Raw genomic sequence first — 20,989 nt, forward strand, 5'->3', positions numbered from 1 at the left:
ACAAAACCCTCTGGATTCACAATATCAAATGATGTCCACTATGTCAACCCATACAGTAAGTATAGTAGGCAAGTAGAATAAACGAAACAAAAACAGAACACAGGGAGGCCTGCGGAAGATTAGTATAGGTGCTTCCATCTAATTAACTTCTGAGGTTGAGTCATAACTGAAGGCTTTTCCCTACTAACCAGTGGTACAATAGAATATTCATAAATTTTGCTACTCATACAGATGTCTGGGGCTTTTCCTCTGATTTTGCATGAATCTCTACTGAGAAACTGCTCAGGCCTCAGATTTACCAATACCAAATGGAATAGGGAAAGATGTTCAAACTCTCAGTCATATACTAGTGAATGGTCTTTTCATTATCACCAATACCTTGCTGTCCCCACTTGATGTTCCCATGCAAATGTGGAATCTAAAGGAAATAATAGACATTGAACAGTCAGGATAATTGAATATACCTGTTCTAAATAAAGACCAAGGCTACTGTGTGTGTTATGTCGGCATGCATGTTTTCAATGAAGGTGATCAATAGGGAAAAAGAGTCCCCCATAAGAACACTGGGAGGCAAGATCATAGAGTCAAAGAATGATTTTCATATTCCAATGGAATGCTTACTGGTTTATAGATCTTGGGTAAGTCATTGCACATCTTGCTGAGAAACCGAAAGTCTGTGAAGATTAAGAATACCTGTTCTTTACCTTTTACAGAATTGTTGTGAGGAATAAACGGGATGATGATTTGATTGTGTCTAGCCATGTGACCAGCACTTAATGGGTGTTCAGTAAATATCTGTAGATTCTGAATGATGGCCCCTAAAGGGTCTGGTTTCAGCAGGCCCAGGAGCTTGAAGTCAAGCCCAGGTATACATTCTGGAGTATATAAGAGTACAAGAAATCTATGGAGGTAGGATATACTGTATTTATGCAATAAGAAGTATGATCTAAGTCACATTCAGATTTCTGTTTTTCCCAATCTTATATCATTTTTGATGGAGAATAGGAATGCTTTTCTAAAACTGAGATATTCCACTAAACCATTAAAGTACAGGCAGAGAGGAAAGAGCTTTTGGTTGAAACGAAAAGCTGATTTTTCATGTGTGTACCATGATAGGCCAGAAGTCCTAGTTATCAGGTCCTCTAAACAGCATGTTAGAAAGTTCACCAGAACATGAGCTTTATGAGAGAGGAGAGTTTTGTGTGCATTTTTCCACTGCTGTATCTCCAGAGCATAGAACAATGCCTGACACATAGTAGAAGCTCAATACCTGTGTTGCATGGATGAGTGAGTGTTCACATTCACCGTTCCAGACAGAACATCATAACTAAAACCTGTACATTGCTTTGTAGTGTAATTGTCATGGAGTGGGACTATGGACTCTAGAAAAGGCATGGTTATGAGAGGAAGAAAAGTTTACAGTAGTTTCAAAATTACAACCACAAAAAGAAAATTCGACTGGTAATGCCCTTCACTTTTGCTTAAGCTCAAGAAAAGAAATAAAAACATGTTAATGGCCAGGGGATATACCATAAGTAACATTTTACTGGGACAAGATTAACTGCTATGAATTTTACTGACAACAATACTAACATTTTCTATCTTTTATTGTTTAGCATTTATGTAGTCTGATTACAACAATGTGAAGCCCTCTGTTAAACTTGTCTGTGGGGATTGAGGAAGATTTTTTTTTTTATTTTTTATTTTTGAGACGGAGTCTCGCCCTGTCACCCAAGCTGGAGTGCAGTGGCGCGATCTCGGCTCACTGCAAGCTCTACTTCCCGGGTTCACGCCATTCTCCTGCCTCAGCCTCCCGAGTAGCTGGGACTACAGGCACCCACCACCATGCCCGGCTAATTTTTTGTATTTTTAGTACAGACGGGGTTTCACCGTGTTAGCCAGGATGGACTCGATCTCCTGACCTTGTGATCTGCAAGCGTCAGCCTCCCAAAGTGCTGGGATTACAGGCGTGAGCCACTGCGCCCAGCAGTTTTTTTTTTTGTTTTTTTTTTTTTTTTTTTTTTTTTTTTTACAAACAGGACTTAGTTACTTTAAAATTCTTTTCTGTCTCCTTTCTTTTTGGCCTTCTTTTTACAAATTTACCTCCTTCTACTGAAATCTGTTTCCAACCTCCAGCCTCTTGTGGGTTTCTCACAGTCCTTGGCAGGTACTTCTGACAAAGATCGTGATTCTGTGACTTGCAGCAATGTTGGTCCTGAACTGGCTAGATCCTGGCAAGCAGGCCCCAGACTACTATAAAAAAAGTATAAGAGGCTTCCTGTCAGAGACAGAAGTTGTCTGGTTTATAAATCTTCTTGTCTTTGGAGCCTTGTGTCAATTTATACTATTCTGACTCTTTCCTTGGACTTGGCTTGCCATTTAGCTTCTAGAGTCTGCTATTGATTACTTGTCAGGCTCTGACCTATTATCTCATTATTATCTGCAATTGCCATGAACTTCCTATATCTGGACTATTTTCCTGACATGTTCCTATATTCTGCATCTATAATCTGCCTCCATTTACAGCTATATTTCCATGTTTTTCCATGGCTTATGGTTCCCTTGCTGAATATCCTCATATATTTGCTACTCCAAACTCTGCCCAAACCCCAGCAGAGGGAAAAATGCATGGTGAGATCAGCCCAAATACATAAAAATTGAAAAGGGGGTGAGAGCAGTTCCAACTAGCAATATTACACCCCTCCCTCATTTATAGAGTTAGGGAAATGGTGCCTTCAATCTCTAGAAATCTCTTTTATAGGAACTCTGGTCTTGGAAGCTTCATCCACCTTTAAATCATCTTAAAAATGAACCTGCCTGCTTGGAGATGCTGGTCATTCTATGAGTGGAAGGACAGAAGACTAATGATTTCCCAAGTTCTATCTCCCTTTACAAAAAGAAGAGTTTCCCTCATCTTGACTGTGATGGTTAATTTTATCTGTCAACTTGACTGGGCCATAGAGTGTCCAGATATTTGGTCAAACATTATTCTGGGTGTGTCTGTGAGGGTGTTTTGGAGTGAGATTAACATTTGAATTGGTAGACTGAGTGAAGCAGATTGCCCTACCTAATGAGGATGGCCCTCATGCAATGAATTGAAGGCCTGAATAGAACAAAAGGCTGACCCTTCTGAGAGTAAGAGGGGACCCTTCCTGCCTGACTACTTGAACTAGGACATCAGTCTTTTCCTACCTGCAGACTTGAACTGAAATATCAGCTCTTCTTGGATCTCAAGCCTGTGGCTTTTGGGCCAGAACTTGTACAATCAGCTCTCTTGGTTTTCAGGACTTCAGACTTAGACTAGAACTATACCATCAGCTTTCCTAGGTCTCCAGCTTGCAGGTCTTGGGACTCTCAGCCCCCATAATCATGCAAGTCAATTTTTTAATAAGTGCCTGCAGAGGCCCCTGACTAATACACCTACCCTTCCACAGTCAAGTTGTGCTGCTCCATGAACAGCACAAGAAAAGATGAAAGAAAGTCTCAAGCAGTCTTACTAGACTTCAGAAAATATTTCAAATTAGGGTGATTTTAGAGAAAGGAAGTTTTGTGAATGATTAAGAGACCTGTAATCCTGACTCAATTTATGTGTGACATGACTTTGGGTAAGTCACCTCCCTGGGATTACTTCCATTTAATAAAGAGAGAAATTATTCTAATGAACTCTCTCACTCTATGCCTATGCCATAGTAAAGCTAAAAAAGTAAAGCAACTAAATCATCACTAGTATGCAATAATATCAACTCCCAACATTTCTTTCTTTTAGCCAAGAATCATTTGTTAATCATCCCTGAAACTATTCATACCAAATACAACACAAACCCCTTGCTTTCTTTGGTGTCTTTTAAATAGAAATGGGGATACAATGCCTTTCAGGAAGAATGGTCTTTGTGGTCATGACAATTAAACAGAATTATGTGTTGGAAGTGGGTACCCAGATATTATGAAAAAAGTCTAGCTGCAGATAATCAAAACGCACTGTAAATAATGGTATTTCAGTATATGGGATAAAATTTGGTATTTTATCTCTAAGCTTGCTGATGGATATGAAAAGAAAAATTAGCCAGTTATGCCAATTATAGAAATTATAGCTTATTAAGGTTCATACCAAAGCTGATTTGACAGAATCCTCCAGTACAGACACCATTCTGAAAAGATCAGTAGCAACAGATTTTGTCAGAATGAGAATCAAAATGTTTGGTGAGCAGGAACCATAGGTCACTAACACCATGTCGTAAATTTGTTTAATATAATCACTGCCTTGGCATTCATTTTTTTTGGCCTGACATAAGTTATTGGTAACCTAGTCATGCCCCCATCACCTTTGACCTAGTTAAAACTTCCACTCTCCATGTGTTTGTTTGTAATATAGTTCACAAATTCCGCATCTCATTAACCCCAAACCCAGCACACTCCACAGCTGGTAATCATGATAAAACCTAATGAACACCAGAGTCATGTGAATAAGATCCCTCTTCATGTGTGTTTTCTTTAAACTAGCCAATCCACAATTCTCACAGGAAAACCTAAGAGATAATGCCCATGGACCTTAATAAAGCCATAGTCCCACAGATATACCCCCTTTCTCACTCCCCATCCACTGGTTGAGCACTCTGCTATCCCCAGGCTTCCTATTAGCCTCCTGTTGGCACCCTCAACCTCTTGAACCTGTGAGTAATAAACTTCTTTCATTTCAAGCATTTTGGTTTTACTTCCTCATTGTGTCTCACCTGACACAAACACACAATAGTGTTATTCTCAATATTATTTAACAGCTTTCATAATCATACCGTTTCCACAAGAAACAGTTATAAGAGCACTCCTGGATGCATCAGTGCCCCTGCACCTTCATTTAGACTGTACTTCTGCCATGATACCCTCCTTCCAACTCTTGAAACTCTCCTCACAGGTCATAGCCCAGTTCAAGCCCAATCTCCCTTATGAAGCACTCTCTGTCCACTGAAGTCCCCCTGTGATTGTATCCACCTACATGATTTGTCTCCAGCACTTATTTGGCACTTGAAAGAAGCAGAGATGTCACAAGGTAATGTATCTTTTCTTCAACACTTCATGGCTTGGCTAGTTACAGAAAAACTTTGGACAGATTGCTGGACCCTTTCAGGGCCTTCATTTCTTTATATTTTAATTGAAGAATTTGAATAAGAGCTATGGTTTTCAAGCATTTTGTTTTGGTCATGGAACCCTTTCTGCTAACAATATAAGTAGAACTAAATAAGATAAAGTAAAAGTTAAATAAAACAATAAATAAAGTTAAATAAAAGAAGGTCATGAAGCTAGAGCCTCCTAGGTGCAAAGAAATGCCCTAGACTCTTTTTCAATAGTTTGAGGCCCTTCTATGGAACCCTAAAAAATTCTACCAAAAAGTACGAAAACCACTGGACTAGATTATCTTAACCTCTTTCAGTTCTTATAGTCTATGCTTGTTGTTTTTTAATTTTGATTTTCTCATTCCTGACCATCATGGAACCCTATAGTCAATGCTTCTATTTGTATGTGTAGAGTCCTGGCTGGATTGAAAGCTTCTTAATGGCGGTGATTGTGTATGACATTGAATTTCTAGATTATATATTGCCTTGTGGAGAGAAATTGCTACATTAAGATATTTGGCACTGCACTCCAGCCTGGGTGACAGTGAGACCATGAAAAAAAAAAAAGAAGAAGAAAAAGAAAGAAAGAAAGAAAGAAAGAAAGAAATTTGGGTCAAGGAGGACAAGCTTCCATGGAGGCATTTAGTTTTCTGTTCATCTGAAGAAATTTCTTGCCTTTTTCCTGGACTAGGGAGACAGAAGCAACAGTTACCACATTTCTGCCCTTGATCCTGAGACTCTGAACTTGCCCTTTAGTGACCTTCTCTAAGTTTTGGCCTTCTAGAAGCTCTATTCTTGGTAGTATTGGTAAATTGCTCCACCTATAGGGTGAAGATAATTCATGTGTTCTTTGAATCAAATCTTACTGATATAATTTGAAAAATAGATCCTGTCTCCTTTAGGAGGAAAGGAAAATGTGTGTGTGTATGTTGTGTGTGTATGCGCATGTGTGTGCATGATTGGGAAGTTCTGTAAGTTTAGTTATGCTTCATCTTTCAAAATACATGGGCCAAAGTTTAACTACATAGGCTTGATAATAGGAGAAAACACCCTCAGCCCTGAGAGCAGATTATGTTTAAGTTTCAGACCAAATAACAAATTATCTTTCTGGATCCTCTTTTATGAGTACATCAAAGTTATTTCTTTTCTTTTCTTTTTTTTTGACATGGAGTCTCGCTCTGTCGCCCAGGCTGGAGTACAGTGGCGCGATCTTGGCTCACTGCAAGCTCCGCCTCCCGGGTTCACGCCATTCTCCTGCCTCAGCCTCCTGAGTAGCTGGGACTACAGGCGCCCGCCACCACGCCTGGCTAATTTTTTGTATTTTTAGTAGAGACGGGGTTTCACCGTGTTAGCCATGATGGTCTCGATCTCCTGACCTCATGATCCACCCACCTTGGCCTCCCAAAGTGCTGAGATTACAGGCGTGAGCCACCGCGCCTGGCCGAGTACCTCAAAGTTATTTCATACTGCAGAGCCCATCATGTCTCAGAATATAGGTTGATTCACTGCATCAGTGCAGTGACTATTATATACTTATGATATTTGCATACTTTACTTATTCCGTACATATAAATCACAGAGGCTTACTTTCAGGGAGAAAAACCTTAGAGAACATCAACAAAGAATGTATGGGATCTCTATCCCAGGTGTCAGACTTAAATCATCCTAGCATTAAGCAAACTGGTTGACTTCTCAAGGTCCCTCAAATATCCCCATGTACATATTTCTTTTCTTCTTGCTAGCAAAGTGGTGACTTGTCTTTTATTGTTGGCCTGAATAATTAGTTTCATGCAAGTTTAAAACTGGAAGGAATACTCAAGTTCAAAGATCCTTATTCACTATATACAAACACAGGCCCAGAAAGATGCTGTGCTAGTTATTAGAAAAGCTGGGATGAAACTTAGTGCTTTTAACTTTTTTTTTTCTTTTTTTCTAAATTATGCTTTAAGTTCTAGGGTGCATGTGCATAACGTGCAGGTTTGTTACATAGGTATACATGTGCCATGTTGGTTTGCTGCACGCATCAACTCATCATTTACATTAGGTATTTCTCCTAATGCAATCGCTCCCCCAGGCCCCCACCCCATGACAGGCCCTGGTGTGTGATGTTCCCTGCCCTGTGTCCATGTGTTCTCATTGTTCAACTCCCACCTGTGAGTGAGAACATGCAGTGTTTTGTTTTCTGTCCTTGTGATAGTTTGCTTAGAATGATGGTTTCCAGCTTCATCCATGTCCGTACAAAGGACATGAACTCATCATTTTTTATGGCTGCATAGTACTCCATGGTGTATATGTGCCACATTTTCTTAATCCAGTCTAACATTGATGGACATTTGGGCTGGTTCCAAGTCTTTGCTATTGTGAATAGTGCCACAATAAACATACATGTGCATGTGTCTTTATAGTACCATGATTTATAATCCTTTGGGTATATACCCAGTAATGGGATCGCTGGGTCAAATTGTATTTCTAGTTCTAGATCCTTGAGGAATCGCCACACTGTCTTCCACAATGGTTGAACTAATTTACACTCCCACCAGCAGTGTAAAAGTGTTCCTATTTCTCCACATCCTCTCCAGCATCTGTTGTTTATCTGTTGCTTTTAACTTTTAATTTGTTGAATTTTCTGCTGACAAAAGCTTCTTGCCTTTCAACTTTTAGTTATTTTAAAATACGCAATGTATTATTGACTCTTGTCACCCTGTTGTGCTATCACATAGTAGGTCTTACTTATTTTTTCTGTTTTCTTTTTGTGCCAATTAACCATCCCCACCCTCCCTCCAACCCCCCGTTACCCTTCCCAGCCTCTGGTAATCATCCTTCTACTCTCTATGTCTGTGAGTTCAATTGTTTTGATTTTTAGATCCCACAAATAAGAGAGAATATGTAATATAATGTCTTCTGTGCCTGGATTATTTCAATTAACATAATGATCTCTAATTCTATCCATGTTGTTGCAAATGGCAGGATCTCATTCTTTTTTTCTGGCTGAGTAGTACTTTATTGTGTATATGTACCACATTTTCTTTGTCCATTCATCTGCTGATGGACACTTAGGTTGCTTCCAAATCTTGGCTATCGCTAATAGTGCTGCAACAATCATGGGAGTGCAGGCATCTGTTTGATGTACTGATTTCTTTTCTTTGGGGTCTATACCCAGCAGTGGGATGGCTGGGTTGTACAGCACCTTTATTTTAGTTTTTTGAGGAATCTCCAAGCTGATCTCCGTAGTGGTTGTACTAATTTACATTTCCACCAGCAGTGCAAGAGGGTTCCCTTTTCTCCACATCCTCACCATCATTTGTTATTGACTGTCTTTTTGGTGTAAGCCATTTTAACTGGAGTGAACTGTCTCTCAACTTTCAAATTGAGACAGAATAATAGGTAGCTATATAACCCAAAGTAGAGGACCCTTAAATGATACTCAAAATTAGAAGAAAGGTAGAATAATGAGTCGTTTTCATGAAAGCCTCATCCTTTTTTTTTTTTTTTGAGACAGAGTTTCGCTCTTGTTACCCAGACTGGAGTGCAATGGCGCGATCTCGACTCACCGCAACCTCTGCCTCCCGGGTTCAAGCGAGTCTCCTGCCTCAGCCTCCCAAGTAGCTGGGATCACAGGCTTGTGCAACCACGCCTGGCTATTTGTATTTTTAGTAGAGATTGGGTTTCTCCATGTTGGTCAGGCTGGCCTGGCACTCCCAACCTCAGGTGATCCACCCACCTCGGCCTCCCAAAGTGCTGGGATTACAGGCGTGAGCCACCGCACCCAGCTGATAGCCTCATCTTTAAAAAGAGCTCCTTTCTGTAAAACAGAGTAGAATTTTATGTGATTAAAAAGAGAGCAGAAATGAATATTTTTTGGTCATTGACTAAGTACTAGGCATTGTGCTAAGCACTTTACATGTATCATCTTGTGTAATACATACAATAACCCTACAAGCTAAGTATTATTATTTATAAATGAGAACTCTAAGCCTCGAAGATATGTGACTTGCCCGAAGTCCATAGCTAGTAAGTGAGAGATCTGGAATTTGAACCAACATCTTTCTCAACCCACACACACATTCTTGTTAATCGCTATAGCATTCCGAATCCTGGAGCCTCATAAGGAGGATAAGAAAACCATTACTCTTCTTGCTCAAATGATTGTGATGAATCTGTTTGTTGAGCTTCCCATTGCTTATGGGATGTGGATAGCTTTTGTTTCTTGTGGGGACAATAGAAAAAAACAGGAATTCTGGGATGGATTTGTCCATCAGCCTTGTCTTTCTCTCATTTTGCTGATCTCTCCTGGAGGAATCTGCTTCTATCCTTTCACACAGAATGTTTTACTATGTGAAAAAGCATTGCATCCATCACCTATATAATTGTTTAAGTATCCTTTCTAATTGAAATTTTGGCCTACTATACTTCATCATCAATCAATTCTAATTACTATTTTTGCAAGAGAGGTGGAGTGGGATGGAGAGGACATCTGTTATTTGACTGAAGAAAAATAACTAGTGTTGAGTACCCACTGTGTGCCCAGCTTTGTGCTAGGTATTTTATATCTATCTCACTTAATCCTTACAAGGATCCTGCAGGGTTATACATCTACATGTAACAGAAGGGGAAACTGAAGTTTGAGTCAGCTAAGTAAATAGCTTGACATCACATGGCTATTAAGGGGCAGAGCTGGGATTTGAAATCAGGTCTTTTTGGCTCTACAACCTAATGTCTATTCCACTATACTACTCAGCCTTCATTAAAAGCACAGTTATTGCTTTCCATAAGAGTTCTGATAAGCAGGGAAATCTCGATCTTTCTTAGTTTTTTCTAAATCCTGGCTCCAACTCTCCGGAGGTTCCCCTAGGGCAGATGAACACAATGAACTATCTTCTGCAGAAAAGAAAAGGGGACAAAACCCCCAGCTCCTTGAGACATGGAATTAAAGGATTATTTCCTGCTCCCTCCAGTCCCTGCCTTGAATGAAAGGTCTGAGTAATAGCTTCCCTGCTCTACTCAAACCAAGGACAGGCATCTGGGAATTGCTTCTTGGCTATGAAACTCAGACAGTGCTTTTATTGTCATTTTAACTGTGAGCATTCCCTCCAATCTTACTGTTTCCAATTTCTGCACCTGTTTATTGGCTAATTTTGTTTTCAGTTTGCTGAAGCTGTGTATTCTTAATTATGTTAATAGGAGTTAACTAAAAAATAAACATTTAAAATACATATTGAGCACCAGCAAAGTTTAAAAAAATAATTTATTGAGGTGAAATTCACCTATTATGGATATAGATAATATTATCATAGATATAGACATAGATAAATAGATATATATCTATATACATAGATGTATATATATCTATAGATATAGATAATATTATCACCTATTATGGATATTTCACATGAATGAAATCATACAATATGTGACCTTTTGTATCTGACTTCTTTTACTTAGCATAATGTTTTCAATGTTCATCCATGTTGTAGCATGTATCAGTAATTCATTTCATTTTAAATCTAGGTAATATTCCATTGTATATATATATATTTCATATAGACTTTGATATTACATATATATATATATAATCTCAAAAAACAATAAACAGAGCAAAGAGACAACCTGCAGAATAAGAGAATGCATTTGCAAACTATACATCTGATGAAAGGTTAATATCCAAAATAGGTAAGGAACTCAAGCAACTCACCAACAAATAAACCAATAACCTGATTTAAAAATAGGCAAAAGAGCTGAATAGAGATTTCTCCAATAAAGACATACAGGTGGCCAATAGGCATATGAAAAAATGCCCAGCATCACTAATCATCAGGGAAATGCAAATAAAAACTACAATGAGATATTACCTCACTCCAGTCAGAATGGCTACTATCAAAAAAATCAAAAGACAACAAATGTTGGCAAGGGTGTGGAGAAAAGGGAACTGTTACACACTGCTGGTGAGAAGGTGAATTAGTACAACCATTATGGACAACAGTATGAAGGTTCCTCAAAAAAAAAAAAATAGAACTCTCATATGATCCAGTAATTCCACTATTGGATATGTATCCAAAAGAAGGGAAATCAGTATGTCAAAGAGATACCTGCATTCCTATGTTTATTGAAGAACTGTTCACAATAGACAACATATGGAATCAACCAGACTTTGTTTATCCATACATAAATCCATTGATGGGCATTTGGGTTGTTTCCATCTCTTGGCTATTATAAATAGGGCTGCTAGGAATGTATGTACATATGCTTGCTTGAGTACCTGTTTTCAGTTACATAGCGTATATGCCTAGGAGTAGAAATATGGATTCATATGGCATTTCTATGTTTAACTTCCTGAAGAACTACCAAATTGCTTTTCATAGTGGCTGAACCATTTTACATTCCCACCAGCAAGGTGCAAGAGTTCCAATTTTTGTACATCTTCATCAATGCTTGTTTTTGTCTTTTTTAAAATTATGAAACATCCTGATAGGTGTGAGCTCTCTCACTGTGGTTTTGATTTTCATTTCTCTAATGACTAATGATGATAAACATCTTCTCATATGCTTTTTGGCCATACATATATCTTCTTTGGAGAAATGCATAGTCAAGTTTTTTGCCCAATTTAAAATAGAGGTTTTCAAATGTCCATCAATGATAGACTGGATTAAGAAAATGTGGCACATATACACCATGGAATACTATGCAGCCATAAAAAGGATGAGTTCATGTCCTTTGTAGGGACATGGATGAAGCTGGAAACCATCATTCTCAGCAAACTATTGCAAGGACAGAAAACCAAACACCGCATGTTCTCACTCATAGGTGGGAATTGAACAATGAGAACACTTGGACACAGGGTGGGGAACATCACACACCAGGGACTGTAGTGGGGTGGGGGGAGGGGGGAGGGATAGCATTAGGAGATATACCTAATGTAAATGACGAGTTAACGGGTGCAGCACACCAACATGGCACATGTGTAGATATGTAACAAACCTGCATGTTGTGCACATGTACCCTAGAACTTAAAGTATAATTAAAAAAATAGAGGTTTTATCTTTTTGTTATTGAGTAGCAGGAGTTCTTTATTCTGCATACCAGATCCTTATTAGAGATATGATTTGAAAATATTTTCTCTCATTCTATAGGTTGTCTTTTTACTCTCTTGATAATATCCTTTGATGCACAGAAGGTTTTAATTTTGATGAAGTCCAAATTATTTATGTTTTTCTTTTGTTGCTTATGCTTTAGGTATTCATATCTAAGAATCCTTTGTGAAATTCAACTTCATGAAGATTTTACCCTTATGTTTTCTTGTAAGAGTTTTATAGTTTTAGCTCTTATATTTAGGTTGCTGCCCCATTTTGTATATGGTGTGAAGTATGTGCAATTTCGTCTTTTTGCATGTGGATATTTAGTTATCTCAGCACCATTTGTTGAAAAGACTATTCTTGCCAGGCACAATGGCATGTGCCTGTGATTCCAACTAATAAGGAGGCTGAGGCAGGAAAATTGCTTGAGCCCACAAGCAAGTTTGAGCAAGACCCCCATCTCAATAAAAAAGAGAAGGCTATTGTTTCCCCCTTGTTAAAAAGCAATAGGCCATTGATCTATGAGTTTATTTCTGGACTCTCAATTCTATTCCATTGATGTGTATGTCTCTCCTTATGCCAGTACCACATTAGTTTTTAGGACTATGCTTTGTAGTAAGTTTTTAAAAACAGAAAATGTGAGCACACGAAACTTATTCTTATTTTTTAAGATTGTTTTGACATTTTTGGGGACCCTTGCAATTTGATATGAATTTGAGGATAAGGTTTTCCATTTCTGCCAAAAAATGCCATTGATTTTGATATAAATTGCACTGAATCTGTAGATCCTTTTAAGCAGTATTGAAATCCTAACAATATTAAGTTTTGCAATCCATGATGCAGAATGTCTTTTCATTTATTGAGATTTTCTTTAATTTCTTTTATCATTTTTTGTTTTTTTTTTTTTTAGTTTTTGGTATAACACTTGCACCTCTTTTGTTAAATTTCTTCCTAGACATTTGATTTTTTTGCATACTATGGTGAATTAAATTATTTTTATATTTTCTTTTTGGATACTTCATTGCCAATGTACAGAAACACAACTGATTTTGTATGTTGATTTTTGTTCTGAAACTTTGATGCATTTGTTTGTTAGCTTTTTCTGCATCATTTGAGATGAAGATGTGGTTTTTCTCTGTCCCTCTCTTAATGTAATGTTTTACATTGATGGATTTTTTTTTTTATGTTGAACCACACTTTCATTCCTGGGATAAATCTCATTTAGTCATAGTGTATAATGTTTTAATATATGATATTTAATATGATCTTTTTGGTAATTTGTGTGTTTCCAGTAATTTTTCCATTTTATCTAGGTCATCTAATTTGTTGTGACATAATTATTCATAGTAGTTTCTTATAATCCTTGTTATTTTCTGTAAAGTTGGTAGTAATGAAGTTGCTTTCACTTCTGATTTTTTCATTAATATCTCTTCTCGTTTTTTTTTTCAGTCTAACTAAAGATTTGTCAATATTGTTGATCTTATCAAACAACTAACTTCTGGTTTCATTGTTTCTCTTTATTATTTTTATGTCCTTAATTTTACTTCTGATTAATCATTATTAATTTCCTTCCTTCTGCTAGCTTTGGGTTTGCTTTATTCTTCTTTTTCTATTTCCTTAAGATGTAAAGTGACGCTGTTGATTTGAAGTTTTCCTTTTTTTTTTTTAAAAAAAAAAAAATGTAAGAGCTTAGAGCTATAAATCTCCCTAACAATGGACTTCCTCAGGGACAGTTTCTATTCCCCACAATCCCATGAATGGGTCATACTTACCTGTTTCTCTGTATGCTTCATGAATTTTTGTTGAAAACTGGATATTTGAATATTATAAGGTGGCTACTCTGGATATCAGGTTCTCCCCTTTCTCTAGGGTTTGCTATTTTTGATTGTGGAAAGCTAGAGTCATCCATTTGTTTAATTACTTTTCCAAACTATTTTTGTAAAGACTGTATTATCTGTCACGTGTGGTCAGTTAAGTCTTCTGTTTCTTTATCTTGTGTTTAGCTACTGCTTTGACAGAGATGTCCTTGAACTCATATATATATATATATATGTTTTGCACATACTTAGAGAAGCATATGGTTTGGTCATATCCCTATGTTTGAACATTGCAACAGAGATGATTTCTAACTCAGCAGATGCTCTTTGGGAGCTTGGGTGAAGAATATATCTTTGATTATTATCTTATGTGTATATGTTATTTATTTTATTTTATTTATTTATTTTTTGAGATGGAGTCTCGCTCTGTCACCCAGGCTGGAGTGCAGTGGTGTGATCTTGGCTCACTGCAAGCTCCGCCTCCCAGGTTCACGCCATTCTCCTGCCCCAGCCTCCCGAGTAGCTGGGACTACAGCTGCCTGCCACCATGCCTGGCTAATTTTTTGTATGTTTAGGAGAGACGGGGTTTCACCGTATTAGTCAGGATGGTCTCGATCTCGGTCTCGTGATCCACCCACCTCGGCCTCCCAAAGTGCTCGGACTACAGGCGTGAGCTATCGCGCCCGGCCTATATTATGTTATATGTTATACACACACACATATATATATATGTATATATATAAGATTAGCTCTGTGTTGGGGCATTCCTTCAACACTTAGCCAGCTGTCTGAAACTGCCTTAGCCTTCACTTCCTGCTTATACTGAGCCCAGAAAGCAGCCAGATGTGAAAGCTTAGAGTCTTCTTAAGTCTTTTCTGAACATGTGTCCTACTCTGGGGATATGCATAACTTTTTAATTCCCCAGTATACATGGGTGATTTTGAATCTCCTAATTTCCCAAAGAAAATTTATGCCCAGATTTTTCTTCTAGGCTTTAGGTGGTCTACTATTTGCCTCAACCATAATCTTTCACCCCAGTTGGGTACAGGATTTTCATTTGCCTTACAACACCTTTGAGAAATGTCCACCACTTTCACACTGAGTGACTTCTGAGTTAGGTGAAATGAAGATGAGTGCCTTGCATCAGCCCTTTGGGGAGCCCATACATAGATTAGAACAGACAAACACAATAATCCTTTGATAAGGTCTGTTCCACTCCCTCTGGAATCAGGGACCAGGGTCCCACACAAGAAATGTGATTTGCCACCTTCAAGACCACCGCCAAACTAGGGAGGAGGTGGGACAAGAGCTGGAATAAATGCCACAAAAGTTTCCTAATGTGTAGGAAGTTGCCTTTTTCTTGATTCAGCATATACCTGGTTTCTGTACATCTTTGACTATTTTCCAGAGTTTTGACAAGGTTGTGACAGTTTCTGCTTGCTTTTCAATGTTTCTGTGGAGCAATGGGAGTTTGGAGCTGCCTATTCTGCTATTTTGCTGATGTCACTCTTACCAACAAACAGTTATCTGGGCCACTGAATCCAGGGCTTGTTTTGTAAGGCTTGGCTTGAGAAGACTATCACTTCTGCCAACTACAGACCCTTCTCTCCACAGAGACCCTTATAAGCAACGCTGGTCTCCATATGTCTTCCCTACACAGAAACCCTTGCTTAGAGTTAGAGGATACTCATGGGTATTTGACTGTTGCTGAGTAGTGAGAAAGACTCTACTAATGATCAAGGCAATGGGAAAGGAAATTGAGCAAGGCTTCAAGCAAAGTCTGGTGACTAAATTGCAGTCTTCTTTCAAAATGTGTCCCCTCAAAATTGCTTTCAATGATGCATTTATTATCTCCTTGGGTCATTTTTTCTTCTTTCTTCCTTCTTTCTCTATCAATTGTAAACATTGCTTGTTCAGTGAAAAATATACTTCTTTCCTAAGCACAGCTCTGAAATGTTACATTCCTATCATCCTAGGTAATTCCTCTGGTATTCTAGGTTTACCTGGTGGATCTTCTCTTAGACCCTACTTATCCTTTTTTCACAGTTCACCTAGCTTTTCTAGTCTGGACTCCTTAACACTAAAGGCCCAGATCCATTCAAAGATTATACCTGCTGCTTCTCTAATGCCCCTATGCACCACTGTCACCAAAGATTGGCAAAAATAGTTAATCATATTTGCTCTATCCGGCTTGTACTGGCTACTTCCTCTAGAATCTGACTATTTTATTTATTGGGACATTCATACCAATTTTCTTTTGCCCTCTTGACCTTATCTTTTTCCCCCTAAATCTTTCTTCCAGCATTGCCATCCCCTATAGGTCCCTTTTTAGCCCTCACAGTAGCTTTTAGAACTAAGTTATACAATTTCTTGTCTTAATTCTGTTTCCCTCTGCTCTGGGTCTATTACTCTTACCCTTTTCTACAATCTCTGAACTGTACCTTACAAACATAGGTAGCTTCTGTTTCTTTTGCATTTTTTTAAAAAAAAGTTAGGTTATGGACTTGTCAGACAAATTGTCAAAGCTTCAGTTGGTAGAGGTGAAATGGGAACTAAGTGCTGAGTGTCCAGATGAGAAATCACACAAATTGCTGCATAATCTAACTGGGCCAACCTTCTACTGCAAAGATGCATTGTGGGTAATTTTCCTTCATTTTGGGAGGTGTCTAAATTTGCACTAGTTTTTTATTGGAAATTCACTGATAATATAAGAATGGGGACAGTTTGTGACCCCCAGAAGCATACAAAATATGCAATTAAAAATAAAGATTCCCCCTTCTTCCAAGAGTTTAAAAACTTGGCAAAACCATGCACATGTATTTTTCCACTGCAAAAGGGAGTATGAGATGCAAAATCATAGTCTTCCACCAAGAGATGACCAAGGCTGTAAATGATGAAGTCAGAACAATTGAAATTTCAGCAAGAGATGGAGCTTTTGAAAAAGGAATCTTTCTGGATAGTAGAGTTTTCTGGTGTAGAAATTTACGTCGTTACATTTCAACAAGTTTTAATTTAACTGCTTTTGTTAGAACGTTTTCTAACATGTATTGTACACTTCGTTGCCTCCTTAGGCAGACTGTATGGAATACAGTCTCATCTTTTCTTGATGACTCAAGGTCCACACTATGATTTTCAGCTTTTCAGTGTGCTGTATCCAGCAATGCCCTCAGAACCTATTACAGGCTGTAAGAATGAACGTTTGCACAAACACTGAATGTTCTCTGACTGCAGAGTTATTTTGCCAGCTTTTCCGTAGTTTTTCTCTCCCTGTGCTGTAGGTGTTCTGTTATCTTTGTTTTAACATCCACTGACTAGCTTTTAACAGGATGTCTCTAATCTTTGGTGAGACTGGAAATAAAACATTCAAACTTGGTTAAAATTATGCATACAATGCAAATGTATATAGATTCTGAATCAAGTCCTATAGGGCCTCACTTTTTTTTTATTTTTATTTTTTTTTGAGACAGAGTCTCGCTCTGTCGCCCAGGCTGGAGTGCAATGGCGCGATCTCGGCTCACTGCAAGCTCCGCCTCCTGGGTTCATACCATTCTCCTGCCTCAGCCTCCCGAGTAGCTGGGACTACAGGCGCCCACCACCATGCCCGGCTATTTTTTTTTTTTTTTTGTATTTTTAGTAGAGATGGAGTTTCACCGTGTTAGCCAGGATGGTCTTGGTCTCCTGACCTCGTGATCTGCCCACTTTGGCTTCCCAAAGTGCTGGGATTACAGGTGTGAGCCACCGCGCCCAGCCTATGGGGCCTCACTTTTAAGGAAGCACATGAGTTAAAGTGCACAGACTTGGTGCTCAGATGCCCTCTTTGCTTACCTCCTGGTTCTTAGTTATGTTACAGGTATGTAATGTTGCTATTGTTGTAAGGTAAGGTTCAGAAAGGTGAAGGGTCACGTTGTACAGTAACATTAAAGTTACTGTAAAGCCAGGAGGTAGTTGACAATGTGTTTCATGTTGCTCTCCACTGTTCTAAAATGATACTTTTATTATTTCACCTTTTTCAGAGAAATATATAAAAGGCATAGCTGAGGGAGGGCTATAATTTAAGCATACTAGTGGCTTGTAGCCATTTGCTGCAACCCCATTTTCTGATAATAGGAACACTCTGTACCTAATGCCTGGGGCTCTTAAGGCTTTCACCCGGAGGTCTTGCAGATGGAGGACATTAGACAGCAAGGGGTAGGTTGCCACTCCTTTTGTTTTTTGTTGTTTTGCAAATACTTAGAGAAGCGTATGGTTTGGTCATATCCCTAGGTTTGAACATTGCAATAGAGATGATTTCTAACTCAGCAGATGCTCTCTGGGAGCTTGGGTGAAGAACATATCTTTATTATCTTAAGGAATAACCACAACAGGAATTTTCCCTCATGTTTGCAGTAAAAATGGACATGTGCAGATCCTTTTGACAAAGCTAAGGATCAAGGATGGTCAGTTCTTTCATCTATCCAGGGTGCCTCTATTACCGTCATACAGAGCCTAAAATCAACTGGAAAAAAACAGGGACAACGAAAACAGCAGATCTCTGCTGAATCAGAGTCAGTGAGGGGCATTCAGATGTTAGCAAGTCCTGTGTCTGCCACTTAATTCAATCAGTGATTTATTTTATCCCAACCTCTGCACCCAAACCATTTTTTTATGAAAAAGACAAATAGCTCAATGTGACCTTGGCATTTACCTGACTACTGAATATCTTGGAGGAAAGGCAAGCACAGGCGAGTTTTTAACTGATGTATCTGCTCCTACATTGCTTTCTTAATTATAGTCCTTCATGGGGGACCAGATGGCCATTAATTAAGGAGGCTCTCCAAATAAGAGCCCTCAATGGGCAGAATCTTCTTGTACTCTTACATCTAACAGATGCTCTATTTAAGTAGCCTTTCAGTTATGGTACCCAGGGTTATTGGGTACCTTCCTTTTGGGTTGTGGGGGAAAGTCTTAAAAAGATAAAACAACCTTTTGTAGGTCTTTCAATCTAATAAGAATTGATGTGTTCGTACATGACCTTGAGACCAAATCATCAAAGGGACCTTAATGTGTTTTTAGTGCAACCGCTATGCTAAGTGCTACGTTAAAAACAAATCAGTTCCAGCTAATTCAGAACTTCCTTATTAGCTAGACTCTTGATGATCTAGAACAATCCATTTCCAGACTCTGGCAGATAATGTAGTGTTCATTAGGTAGAGGGCTTGTTAAGATCATACACTTAAAGTATAAACTGATAAATACGCATGTCACACATAGGGAAGTTCAGTGATAAGAGTCAGCTGGAATATGACCATTTCCTGCTTGGTCCAGACAGACTTTTCAGAGGCCAACTGATATACAATGAGGAGGAAGATAATAGGGAATTACTGACATTATTAGTCTGCATGCAGCTGGAAAAAGCTGTGATATATACTTGGTAACAGAAAAAGAACACAGTTTATCAAGAGACATGGGTTCTAGGCCAATCTCTTCTACCAACTACCCACATGAACTGCAACTCGGTTTTCTTACTGAAACTGCAAAATTATGATGTCTACCCTTAATTATCTCACAGGTTTGTGAGAAGATCTTAGTTTGGGCTCCCACAAGAATATACTCTGAGACAGGGATTCAAGTATAAGTAGTTTGTTTCAGAGTTGAAGGAAATAGTGATAGAAGAATGGAGCAGTGAAACAAGTAAGCACGTGTTAAAGACAACATTATCACATTTGCTGCCACAGACAGAGTGTCTGGGGCTTAAGTCTTCAGGGGAAAGTCTTGGAGGCAGTGTAAGACATCTCCTTCAGAGTTACCCCACCTGAGAGGTGAGAGTACGCTGACTCCTATCAGTCTTTGGTTGGGGCCATTAATTTCTCAGCATTTCCAACCTACTATACAAGTTGGCAAAACAAGTTTGGAATCCAGAAAAAGTCCCCAGGGAAAGAAATGCAGGTGCTGGCAGTAGGAATTTGGGGGTGGCAGGCACTGAAGTGGTAAGGGTAAAAAAGTATTGGTATGACAGCATCTGCTACATTTGGCACAAGAGCATAAGTGATGTCTTTTGTATAAAGAAAAGTTAATAATTATAAGCATTAGAATTATAGTTACCCGCTAAGACCTATGAAACTGATGACAAAGGGCCATATGGCTGGAAAGAAATTGAAATTATAATCATAACATCCATTGAATACTTACCGTGTGCCAGACACCATGTTATGTGTTTTAAATACATTGACTCATTTAATCCTCTTTGTGAATGAAATATTGTTATCTCCATTTTACAGAGGAGAGCACTGAGGCTCAGAGAGGTGAAATAACTTGCCCAAGCTCACACAGTTAATGGTGAGCAGACCTGAATTTGAACACCAGCAGTCAAATTCTCCAGTCCACATCCTTAAAACTGCTATACTCTACTGACAACTCTGGGGGTAAGGGGTCGACATAGTCTCCCTGGTGACCTTGAAGATCCTATCTTTTTAATTTTTCATTTGCAATGCAACCAACTGCTTCAGCTGGTAAAGAGGATTTAGGAGATCTTGCTGAAGTTTTGTTTGCCGATTTCCGGACCAGTGCCTTGAAAATGACAGAAATCTCTGATCTATTTTTTTTCCACAGGTAATATTGCTTATAGCTCTGTAGTAGGAAAGAAATCAATGTGTTTTATGAACGTGGCTCCTCTTATTTCTGAAAGGCATTTTATAGCTCGACTCTCTCTTATTCTCAATGGTTTTAGGTAAGCTGGTCAATTTGGAAAAGGTTTTTGTTTTATCATTACTTTATGGACAGTAGGCAATTACTCAAATGCAAATCAAATAAAACAAGCTTAATTTGCATGTCTCAATCCACTCAGGAGGAGCAGCATGGGAAGCTGGAGTGTTAAGGATTATAAACTAATTCTCTATGTGCAGCCTATGACGAGACTGACAGATGCTCACCGCAGATATGACAAGTACATATCTTATATGAAAATTGTCTTTTGCAAGGACTTTGGTATAAGCCTTCTGACTGGTGCCCATGAAAT

General features: G+C 38.6%; 1 protein-coding gene across 3 annotated transcripts in view, besides 1 other annotated feature; it reads right to left on the reverse strand.

Moving 5' to 3' along the window:
* The window catches only part of TRPC5 (transient receptor potential cation channel subfamily C member 5), a 314,766-nt gene that overhangs the window by 253,234 nt on the left and 40,543 nt on the right, over positions 1-20,989 (reverse strand). The gene's annotated exons all lie outside the window — the stretch shown is intronic.
* Positions 4,848-4,907: an enhancer, noted in NCBI's record as "active region_29861". NCBI's record gives its function as "activates an Ori minimal core promoter by ATAC-STARR-seq in GM12878 lymphoblastoid cells {active_cell/tissue: GM12878}" and the evidence as "EXISTENCE:reporter gene assay evidence [ECO:0000049][PMID:35858748]".

The sequence above is a fragment of the Homo sapiens genome, chromosome X, assembly GCF_000001405.40.
Source record: "Homo sapiens chromosome X, GRCh38.p14 Primary Assembly".
Lineage (NCBI taxonomy): Eukaryota > Metazoa > Chordata > Mammalia > Primates > Hominidae > Homo > Homo sapiens.